The sequence below is a fragment of the Homo sapiens genome, chromosome 9 (assembly GCF_000001405.40).
Source record: "Homo sapiens chromosome 9, GRCh38.p14 Primary Assembly".
NCBI classification, from domain to species: Eukaryota; Metazoa; Chordata; class Mammalia; order Primates; family Hominidae; genus Homo; species Homo sapiens.
In genome coordinates this window covers 31,018,039-31,030,605 of record NC_000009.12, presented here as the reverse complement: position 1 = coordinate 31,030,605, position 12,567 = coordinate 31,018,039, and the positions used below count along the sequence as shown (strand labels likewise).

Sequence of the window (12,567 nt, the reverse complement as noted above, 5' to 3'; positions counted from 1 at the left end):
ACTGGATGAGCACTGGTTTTTATATTCATCAAAGATTTTCTGTACCTGCCTATTAGTCGTTGAATATCGTACAATTTAAGACATTTAGAAATAACTATTGGACACAAGTCAAAGGAAGAAATTATATTATTGCAAAAACTGATGTTTATTCAAACTGGAAGACAGTACAGTAACAGAACTTCGTTGCTGCTTTTTTTTTTTTTTTAAATGGGTATTATCTGATTCACTCTAAGTAGGAATATGGAGTTTATCATCCTCTATGATAATGAATTATCTCTTTATCTAACTTAGGTAACAAAACATCCTTTAGAAAGAAAATGTTCTATCCATCTCCTGAGTACAAAAAGAGAAGGGAAAATAAAAGTAATTGTTTGCATTATGACAAAAGGCAGGTTACCATAGAATGTTAGATCTAGAATGCACTAAAAGGCCAATTCATCCAATGTCTCATTATGAAGATGAACAAAAAAAGGCACAGAATATTTAAGTGTTTTGCTCAAGGACATTGAAAAAGTTAGGATGGTCTTACATTGTGTCACTTACAATATCAAGAATAATAATTTATAGGATTCTAGAATTTTGGTCCTTACCATTTTATTACTGTATATGAATTTCATTGTGATTAAATCTATGCAGGAAAGCAATAAATAATAAACTCTATATTGTATTTCTTCTGGGAAAATTCATTCTTCACCCTTGAAGCAATGCTTAATTTGTACTGTAGAAGAATGTTGGACGAACCCATTAGAGAACGAAGCCATTCCACTGGATCTTATACTGTAGGGATATTGGGAAAAGGAGATGGTGGGGATGCGATGACAGTTTCCTTTATAAGCTTAAACACTTTATCCCATGAAATGTATTCCACTATTTACTTGACATGAATTGAATAAACAGTAAGACACATCAAAGACATGTTCTTGGTACCTTAATCTCATGGCTATATTGGGTGTATATATTTATATAAATATACACATTACTAGATATTAAAACATGTATTTGATTTAGATATTTTGAAGTATAACATCTTCATTATACTTCAGTAATATTGAGGTATTGCACTGTATTTTAAATTTTATTTACTTAGATTTGAAATATGCTTTAAAGAACTAAAAGCATTCTAGTTTCAATATAGCTACTTAAATATGAAAAACAAAAGTGAACACAGATAACCATTCAATAGTCAATTGAATACCTGATTATGATTTCTTAATTACTGCTCCAGAGTGCAATTACCGCCTAGTCTTACATGAACATCTACATTGCAAATATTTAAACATAGGCACTATAACCTTTTTTTCTACCCAAAGAAATTATTATTTCCCTATTTTCTGTAGATGACTGAAATGATGGCCTTATGAGGAACTCTACATAGTAGTGGCATAGTAGTAAATAAACATACGTGGCACTGGTTTTCAAAATCTAACCAAATTGATATGCTATTACCTTTTAAAGATATGTCGTACATTTAGTCTTTTTTTTTTTTTTTTTTTTTTTTTTTTTTTTTTTTTTTTTTTTTTTTTTTTTTTGTGGAGACAGTCTCGCTCTGTCGCCCAGGCTGGAGTGCAGTGACGCGATCTCGGCTCACTGCAAGCTCTGCCTCCCGGGTTCACGCCATTCTCCTGCCTCAGCCTCCCGAGTAGCTGGGACTACAGGCGCCCGCCACCACGCGTGGCTAATTTTTTGTATTTTTAGTAGAGACTGGGTTTCACCGTGTTAGCCAGGATGGTCTTGCTCTCCTGGCCTCGTGATCCGCCCGCCTCAGCCTCCTGTAGTGCTGGGATTACACGAGTGAGCCACCGTGCCAGGCCCTCTATTTTCTTATAGTCCTGTACCTATAACATTTTAGGATTTGAAAGTGTCAATGTTAAAATACCCCTTTTAAAGTTTATTCATGGATTCTTCATGTTTCCAAATTAGTCCATGTTCTGTCTACAAACTGCAAGCCTGTGCTTTTGAATATAGGCTCGTGCCTTCTCAGGCTACCCAGAAGCTATTGGTAAATGGGTGGGAGGGGAGCAGGCAGTTGGGGATATGCAGGTGATGTCTGCTCTTGAAAAGAGCCTACAGAAGAGAGGATATTTAGCAATAAAAACCCTGCTGTGACAAGCTAAAGAGTAAAAAATATGTTAGTAGAAATGACTTCCACTTACTGTGAGAAAAAAAGTTATATTTAGGTAATGCCACAAGTTCAGCTCGGCAAATGCTTGAGTTTTATATTTAAATAAGTAGAAGCCCAGCGCGGTGGGTGGCTCACGCCCGTAATCCCAGAATTTTGGGAGGCCAAGGCGGGTGGATCACCTGAGGTCAGGATTTTGAGACTAGCCTGACCAACATAATGAAACCCCATCTCTACTAAAAATACAAAATAATTAGCCAGGAGTGGTGGCGCAAACCTGTATTTCCAGCTACTTAGGAGGCTGAGGCAGGAGAATCACTTGAACAAGGGAGGCGGAGGTTGCAGTGAGCCGAGATCATGCCATTGCACTCCAGCCTGGGTGGCAGAACGAGACTCTGTCTCAAAAAAAAAAAAAAAAGTAAGTAAATAAGTAAATAAATAAATCAATAAAGTAAGTAAGAAAATAAATGACTTATTGGTTAATACATGCAGATTAGTGGAATAATCTTTCAAGATGTGAAGCCCAGTGAAGAGAAACATTAATGTATGCTTGTTGATGAATCAGCAATTACTTCCCTAAGCCTCTTTTCTAACACTTAAACCCTAGAGAGCTCACACATCTGTCACAATACTGTCAAATGAGAAAATGAGTAAATGCATGATCCATTCTATATTTGCTCTAAGGGTTGATTCATAGTTGACAAGAGAACATGCCTCAATTAAAACTATTATTTGTGCATGTGTGTGTATATAAAACCTCAAAGCAAAATCGAGTGTATAATTCAGAGTTTCATGCACACAAAACATTCACTAATCTTGATTAGATAATACATAGTCTTTTGCAACCAAGAGTACTGTATAACTTTTAGTGTCAAATTTGATCACTTCTCTATTTTTCTCACCATATGCATATGTCTACTCTCCACATCCAGCCACATAATTTACTTCTATGTTAGGAGGATTAATTTCTTAATAAAAAATTCATATGGCAGTCACGCTCTGTAAGTTGGTTGCTTCACTCATTTACTAAATGCAAAGGGGGAACTCAAGGCCAAGTAAATAAAGACAGTTTGTTTCTTTAGTAGTTCATAGTGTAACAAGCTGTGTAACTAAAAATTAAGGTTGAACCAATTGTGGGTATCTAAGGGAAAATTAATAAATCAAGGATAAGTTCTGTAGGGGACTGATTTTAACATTAAGAGCTGGCAGAAGAGCAATCTCCAAAGCCACCAGTACTTCATCCTAAAGCGTTTGAAACATCTTTCAGCACCATTGGGTCATAATATTTAAATTTTAAGCATTATATGATAATCCTTATATTCTTACTCCAGCTAATTTTTTTGTAAAAACTTAACAGTCCTATATTTTAGTGTACTGTTACCAAAAACAATAAATGATTTTTATGATATATTTCAGGTTGTCATCTGATAACATTTTAGAAATGATTTTCTATGCTCTGTGTAGAGCATTACAGGACCATTTGCATACATGATGGATTTTTCTTTTCTGAGAAACAATATCATCCTGGTGTTGCCAGTGCTAAAGGTAAGCAAAACCTCTCTTGTAAAAGAACATATTTCATATTGTTTTCTGCCTCCAGTCCAAAAACCTATGCTAAAAGCAGAGTTAAGAGTTGTAATGTCTTGAAATGCTTTCAAACATTAACTGACACCAAGATTTCTAGCCAATAAATGTCTAAAAATCTATTTTTTTTTCTGCTTTAATGAGGCTAAACAGTTTTCCCTGATGAGTGCTACTGAATTTGTGTGGGAGAATTCCAATCCACATTTAATATTCATTGGGCATCAAATTAGAGACTGATATAATTATGAGCCACACCATTTCAGGAAAGATCATTTGGACAATGTATCTGCCTGTTGGCAGAAATTTCTATTCTCCTAATTATTCATTCTTTTGTATACTAACCCTTTTTAATTTCATTTCATTTACATTTACATTTTATTTATTTCGTTTATTTATTTTTTGAGACAGGGTCTTGCTCTGTCATCCAGACTGGAGTGCAGTGGAGCAATCACAGCTCACTGCAGCCTCTACCGGCCCAGGATCAAGTGATCCTTCCACCTTAGCTTTCCGAATAGCCGAGACTACAGGCATGTGCCACCATGCCAGAATTTTTTTTTTTTTTTTTTTTTTTTTTTTTTTTTTTGAGACACAGTCTTGCTCTGTCACCCAGGCTGGAGTGCAGTAGCCCGATCTCGGCTCACTGCAACCTCCGCCTCCTGGGTTCACGCCATTCTCCTGCCTCAACCTCCGGAGTAGCTGGGACTACAGGCTCCCGCAACCACGCCTGGCTAATTTTTTGTATTTTTAGTAGAGACGGGGTTTCACCGTGTTAGCCAGGATGGTCTCGATCGCCTGACCTCATGAACCATCCGCCTTGGCCTCCCAAAGTGCTGGGATTACAGGCGTGAGCCACTGCGCCCGGCCAATTTTTTTTTTTTTTTTTAATTGTAGAGACGGGGTCTCACTATGTTGCCCAGGCTGGTCTCAAACTTCTAGGCTCAAGCGATCTACCCACCCTGGCTTCCCAAGGTGCTGGGATTACAGGTGTGAAGACCCTTATTTTAAAAAGATTATACACATATATATGTATTTATATATGTGTATGCATGTGTGTGTGTTAATGTGCAATATTGTATGCAAACCAGTTTTTGCCCTACATTCTTTAAGTCTAGCTTTGTATTTTCTGGTACTAATAGAAATGAAGTCCATGATGCACCTTTTTCTCCTATGACTCCTTTAAGTAAAATCAAAACTGCTAGGTTATAATGACAAACCTTTGAGCACATCATAAGGATTCTGAATACAAGTATCATTATATTCATGTTATAGCTGAGAATGCCAAGACTTGGAGATATCAAGTGATCTGTACAAGGTAACACACAGTGTTTTCAATTAAACTAAAATATCATGTTTGTTGTTTTGCTTTGATGAGTTTCAATATTTTGAAGCCTTTGAATAATTACTGCAACTTCATCTCTTATCAGTTTCCTTTGGGGCCAATCTACCTTTCCAGCTTGGATACAGTGATCTTACACAGATCTCATGTAAATTATATTATGCACATTGTACGGCATTATCGTTACCTGCCAGGCCCTCAACCTCATTCTTCTTCAACCCTCTACTTTCTCTTTCTTCATGGAAGCACTGCTTCAAAAAGCCTACTATGATTTAGTCTCTTAAATTTTCAATGCTTCTTCTTTTATGTGTCTCTGTTTTCTTTTCCCAGAAGTGTTCATTCTTCATGATATGCTGCTTTGTGGATGATGCACCCATTGACTGTGCCAACTTCATCTAAACCTCTCTGAAGAAAACTTAATGCTAAGCTGAATCCATGTTTAGAACTCAGGTGAATGGTGAAATTAAGGCAGGATGACACCTGGTAATATCTTAGTGTGATTCAAGCAAGAGAAAAGATTAACAGTAATGAGTATCATTTGAGCTATTCATAAAGGTTTGCCAGAGAGAAAGATAAACATTTTCCTTTATAACCATAGGGAGGTATATAAATTTTCTAAAAATAAATTATGTGTTCAAATTACTTTTCTTTTTAGCACTACTGTATTTTATGATGACAGATTCATAGCAGATATGGATATTAGTGAATGATCATGTCTAGTAAGGACAGGCAGTATTCTGTGTAGTAAAAATAATACCTTGTATCTATCTATTGTTTCATAATGTGTGGACCAATTTCACAGTCATTATCTTATTTGCTCCTCAGGACATCCCTGAGAGAAAAGAAAAAAAATTTTACAGGGTGTGTACTTCATAAGTTTTCTTTCTCTACCAGATTAGCATAAACATCTTTTCCATACCTGTCTCATATGCTTTAAGTTTTTATTTCATATTTTTGTAAGTTATAATCACAAGCTTTGGAGAAATAGATATTATTATCTATTTCAATGGGGATGTTATTTTAATTTAGCTCAAAAATAATAAATAAAAGAGACATAGAAATTCAAGTGTTTCAGCTTCTTAAAGAGAATCCAATGCTATATGATTGTCTCCATCATGCCATTTAATAGAAAAATCCTAAAATTTTGTTTGCACAGCTCTAAGAGGATCTTTTTAGTAAACAATAGCTATTTTGTTTGAACTCATAAGCCATAATGAAAGAATATAGACTCCATGGTAGATGATCTATGGTTTTAGGTTCCTTAATGGAGAAATTTGGGACAAACAAAGGGATAGAGAAGCATTCTGCAGGCATTGCTAAGAGAATAGCAGTAAGCTGCATATTGCTTTGCCACAGATCATATTGGAGCGGTTGAGATTTCGCTGCCTTGAAGCAGGTTATATTACAGTCCATTTATTTGCCAGGGTAGGATTTTATTAGCAACCAGTTGCAGGCCTTGCATGAGAATGAATCATCTCACAGAATGAGCGTGAAAGACTAATGGAGTTCAAAATCAACACTGTGTTTGAAAGCTTTAGCCCAGGCTCAGTGAGGTGAGGAGGTTACAGTTAATGCTCCATTCTGCTCTGCTCAGATGAAGCTGATAACAAATACTACATGTGTGTATGTGTTTGCATCTGTCTGTTGATGCTGAATATTAGCTTTCTATCTTTTGTAGCTTATCCACAGGTTTGTGGTGATGATAAAGCAAGGTTGCAGCCAGTCATGAAAGGGAAATTGTAACTTTAATTATTTTAGAAGAGAGAAAAAACATAACAGTGTTAGGCATTTGTTGTAAAATGCTGGAATTGCACAAAGGCATTTATAGCTAACTCAACCTCTCTGTGCCACTGAGGGTCAGTTGCCAAAAGAAAACAAATATGTAAAATGTGATCGAATTATCCTAAGGGAGCATTCTACATTTGTATACTAATATTTTAATGACATTGTCTATAAGAGTAGTAAAATCCTGCTAAATTTAAAAAAAAGTTTAAATGTTATTCTAGATTGAAAACAACTCTACTTATTTTTGAAGACTATCTAGATAAGACTATATACAGCAGGGAAAATAAATCTTGTATAGGAGCCAGGCGCTGTGTCCCATGCCTGTGATCCCAGCAATTTGGGAGGCCAAGGCGGGTGGATTGCTTGAGCCCAGGAGTTTGAGACCAGCCTTGGCAATGTGGCAAAACTATATCTCTACTAAAAATACAAAAATTAGCTTGGTCTGGTGGAGTACATCTGTAGTCCCAGATACTAGGGGGGCTGAGGCACGAGAATCTCTTGAACCAGGGAGGCGGAGGTTGCAGTGAGCTGAGATAACGCCACTGCACTACAGCCTGGGCAACAGACTTGGTCTCAGACAAAACAAAACAAAACAAAAATCCTGTATAACTCTTATGAGAGGTTTAAGGATATTTAAATAGTTGCTTGCCCTGAGTTCCTGATTTTTCATACACTCCAGGAATCAGTGGTGAAGAATAACTTGAATCTCATTCAGATAAAATGTAACACATATCACAGATTTAGTTTTCTATTTTATCTCAGGGGTGGGGCATTAGAAGGCAGTTTCTAGAGAGGGGCAAAGGAGGATGGAAGTCTCATGGTGAAAAATGGTTCTGGCAGGGTCAGTAGGTTCAGCAGCAGCTCTGAGAGTTGTAAGTAGTGGTCACTGGTATGATGTGGCATCGCATTTGAACACGTTTACACAACTTCAGAACAAATATCACATATTTTCGAACACTGCTTGTTCTAAAAAGGAGAGTACTAGGAGATTTAAAAAACAAAAGCATAAAAGACTCTTCTAAAAGACTCATTACCTTGGCTGCTTCACCTCAACACCTTAAAAAGGCTGTAATCTAGAAAACAAAGAGGTTTGCCAGCAAGACAGAAAAGGAATGAGTTACAAAGCATTATTAGAAGATTCAAGAATGAAAAAACAAACAAAAAAACTAAGCAGCAACAACAGGAAAGCAGTAGCAAAGTGTACTGCTTGGGTGGTTGAGTCGAGTGTTGATGACATTTTCAAAGCTCAGGAGATATGTAGGCAGTCAATGGAGAGAGATACCAAACACAAGTGATAACACAACAGTGGTCGCCCTTGCAATTGGCTGCTATGGAAGAAAAACTACCACCCCACCTTGAAGAGTCCTAGAGAATAATCAATGTGGGTAATGTGTAAGGCCTATCTCTTGGCAGTTTGTAGTTATTAATACATATGATGTATGTCCTACCTACTAAAGTGATCTTCCTTCAGACTGCAGACCAGTGGATCCCTGAACCTTACAATGGGTACTTCAGCCTTGCAGCCAGCAGTTCTCTTAACAGTTCATTGTAATAAAAGATCTTCCCAGACACCTGTCCTTATCTTCAAATTACATAACCTGAGGGACTCAATCCTTTTGAAAAGCTGAACTAGTTCATAACTCTAATCATAAAGAATCTTTCCAAACACAGAGTAACTTACTTTCCATGTACAACCTGAAAAATCATATTTTTTCACATAATTTCAAAACTCTATTTCAACTCTCTCTCTGGATGTTTCTATTCTCTCCTTGCCTGTGATAAAATACAGTTCTTCCCTGAAGATTTGCTCATGCCCGCTCTTAAAGAAACAGCTGTGTGTTCATAGTCCTTAAACCTGAGGGTCAGAAGATGGAGCTGATTTTCATCATCCTTACATGCACTGGACCTCCCAGGCCATTATTTTCTGACCTTCTTAGAAAACATTTAGTACTGAGTTCACCGAATACCCTCTGCCTTTTTTTATCCTGCCATTTCTCAGCCTCTGTGCTATTCCTCTTGATTCGGCAAAGATTTTGGCAACTGGATCATATTATTTTTTATACTAAACCTGGCATTATGTTGAGTGATTAATATCTGTTTTAGTATCTAAGTAAGTAAGACATTTTTGTCTTTTCACCAAACACTCTTTGACCCTCTTTCTTACCTAACCACTTCATTGGCCACATCTTGTACGCTGTAACTGCACATTTCTGATTAATCTCTAAATATCTCTTTGTCATGCTGCTATCATGAACTTTGTAGACTTTCCCAGTTTGCTTGTACAACTACTCCCACTTCAATATTGTACAGCTTTATTGAAACTTCTGGTTTACCATCATTCTATCTTCTCCAAATCCTTTTGTCAAGTTTATTTTGTGTCCCAGAGCATTTATCTTACTATCATACTATGTTCTCCATTTCAGGAAGCACAACACATCATTAAGACTATTGACTTTGTAGCCACATCTGGGTTCAAACCCCATGCCTGAAACTTCCTCAACAGTGACCCTTGTGCTTAGATTTCTGTTCCTCAGTTTTCTCAACTATAGAACTTACTTCAAAGGATAATTATCATTATCTGAAATTATACATTTCTGACAAAACAATAAGTTCCCTTGTTCATTTTTTTTTTTACCCCACCTCCATGGAAAAACTCAAAACATGGATTAAACTGATGGTTAATTTTAAGCATAACTGTATCTAACTAGATTATACTTGCTGGAACAACTTATATATTTGGTACCACTGCAAATTTATGGTCTCCAAACTCAGGCTTTTGTTATCCTCCAGCCATTCTATTATTTCTCTTTTCAGCCAACTCTCACCCTGTCCACTCCAACAAATTAATTATTCACTTTTCCCAAATTCTTCTGCATTTAATAACATTTCTCTCCACATTTTAGTTAAATGATGTTGTACTCTTCACAAAGAACACTTAAAGGGCAATGCACCATTGGGCATGGGTTCTATTAATGCCCCTCCAATAAACAATCTTTTAACTGTGTTTCTATGTATACCTCATTGCTACGTCCTGTAACAGAAGGGATGCCCTTCTTACTGTGCAAGCATCTCCTCTCTCATCTTAGGTGAGTACACTACATACTTTTTGTTTAGTGTGTGTTTATTAACTACTGTCTCTTAACTGGACCCTGTCCATTGCCTTTAAGGGTTTCACATGCCTTTCTGCATAAGGAAACAATAAACAAGCACCCATCCCTAACCCCTAGACACCAATTTCTATCTCTTTCTTATGCTCTCTCAAGGAAACCTGGAAATAATTGTCTCTTCTTACTCTTTATTTCATCACTTCTCATTCACTGCTTAATTCACTTCAGTTTGGCTTCTGACAAATTTTGCTCTCATAAAAGTATCAATTTTTTTTCTTTGACTCATAGGCAGAATTCACTGATGTTTTCTTTTTGAGAATGATTTATTCACTTAACTTTAGTGACACTACACCCCCTCGGTATCCTCACACCTCTCAGTTATTATTTATCTTTCTCTCTTATAGACTGATTCTCATCTATTAAACTTTTACATGTTGAAGTTTTTTAAGATTTGGCCATACGCTCTCTTCTCAGTCTGTAATCTCTCTATAAAATTACATTATTTTACTATTTAACATGTAAAGTTTAAATGACTCATGATTTTATATTTTTAGTTTGTGCCCCATCTGAAGTCTGTTTCCTTATATCCACTTTAAATCTATTGTTGGCAACTACCGTGTCACTTAAAATGCAACATATGTGCAAAGAAACTCCTGATCATTCCCTCTACACCTGGATTTCTTTCCCTATTTTTTTTTTCTCTCTCTGTCTCCAGGCTAGAGTGCAGTGGTCTGATTTCAGCTCACTGCAACCTCAACCTCCCAGATTCAAGCGATTGTCCTGCCTCAGCCTCCCGAGTAGCTGGGATCACAGATGCCCACTACCACGCCTGGCTAACTGTTTTTCTTTTTTAAAATATTTTTAGTACAGACAAGGTTTTACCATGCTGGCCAGCCTGGTCTCGAACTCACGGCCTCAGGCGATCAGCCCACCTCAGCCTCAGGGATTAGAGGTGTGAGCCACCGTGCCCAGTCCTGTATTTCTTTTCTAATAAGCAGCAACACCATTCATTCAGTTGTGTAAGTCAAAACCTAAGAATCTATTTGTGTTTTCCGCCCCCCACTCATTTCCCATATTAAATTCCTCTCTCATTTCTTGAACTCATCTGCCAATATATCTTAATGCTTTTCTATAGCTCTTTTTAACATTTCCTATTCCAGGGTCCCATCACCTCTCATTTATATTGTTTATATAACCTATAAACAAGTTCCTCCACATCAACTCTTGCCCCTGTTCAATCAGTTCTCCTTAAAGCAATCATAGTGATCATTTGCCTTTTCAAAAACACATCTCATCATATCACTCCACTTTCTCTCCTGCTCAGAACTCTTTGGTAGTTTCCAAATATCCTCAAAATAAAGGTCAAAATCCTTAACATGGTTTAGAAACTAAGGCATAATCTTAATCTGCTGTAAAACTTCTCTCTTCCACCCTCCTACCCTCCCCTCCTCTCCTTTTCCCTCCCCTCGCTTTCCCTCCCTTCCCTCACCTTCTCTCTCCTTCCTTCCCCTTCTCTCCCCTTCCTTCCCCTCCCCTCCCCTTTCCTTTCCTAATGAGGTTTCGCTCTGTCATGAAGGTTGGAATCCAATGGTGTGGCTTCGGCTCACTGCAACCACTTCCTCCCAGGCTCAAGTGATCCTTCCACCTTAGCCTCCCAAGTAGCTGGGACCACAGACACATGCCACCACACCTGGCAATTTTTTTTGTCTATTTTAGATAGAGATTGGGTTTTACCATGTTGCCCAGGCCGGTCTCAAACTCCTGAGCTCAGGTTATCCACCTGCCTCAGCCTCCCAAAGTGCTGGGATTACAGGTGTGAGCCACTGCACCTGGCCTAAAACTTCAATATCATTTCAGAGGATGCCTCAACTTTCTCTTTGGGCTCTTATCATTTTGGTCTTCACAAAAGTGACATATCTCATTCTAATTATTGGAAAGGGAAGTAACATTTCACCTTTATCTTTAACATTCTTTTCTCCTATTTTCATCTAGATAATTTCAGATTATTCTTCAAATGTCCTTTCTTCCAGTGATGCTATCAACAACAACAAAAAAATCCTGCCTTAACCCTATTAGATGATTTTGGGCCTTCTACCTACTCGTCTTATTGTCCTATGCAGCTTTATTTAGTAGCACTTATATTTACAATTACTACTTTACACATATTGGCATGAAATTAATATAAGTTTCTATATTTAAGTAAATGGTTTCCGAGGACAGTGAAGGTATTTGCTGTTGCTCACTGTTGTATTTACAGATTCTTGCTCTTTCTTCCTCTAAAACTATTCTTTAGTTTAATGAACAATTTTAGTGTTTTTTGATCTGTCTATGTGCCCACATCAGAAACTGTTTGGGTGAACTTTATTGTCCAATAGTCTTATGTTTAACCTCTGTTGAGGTTTCTCAGGGATCCTTAAATAAATGGAACCTCTATTGCCTACCCAGACTATCAACATCTATAAAATGTTATGCACAAAAGAAAAGCATGGAAGACTGGGGAAAAAAATAATTAACTACATTGATATTATTTAGATAGGTAAGCATGGCTTTAGGTTACTCACCAGATAGTCTTTCTAATGCTGATCCTGCAAACTAGTCTTACCCACCTAATCAGCCAGTGGTAAATTATGCAAACA

The 12,567-nt window shown here is 37.2% G+C and overlaps 1 long non-coding RNA gene across 1 annotated transcript; it reads left to right on the top strand.

Moving 5' to 3' along the window:
• Window positions 1–3,559: 3,559 nt before the first annotated feature.
• On the top strand, window positions 3,560–6,008 carry LOC107987029 (uncharacterized). The gene is made up of 3 exons (XR_001746569.1): window positions 3,560–3,664; window positions 4,973–5,015; window positions 5,370–6,008. It is a non-coding gene; the product is annotated as an uncharacterized LOC107987029 (long non-coding RNA).
• Window positions 6,009–12,567: the final 6,559 nt, after the last annotated feature.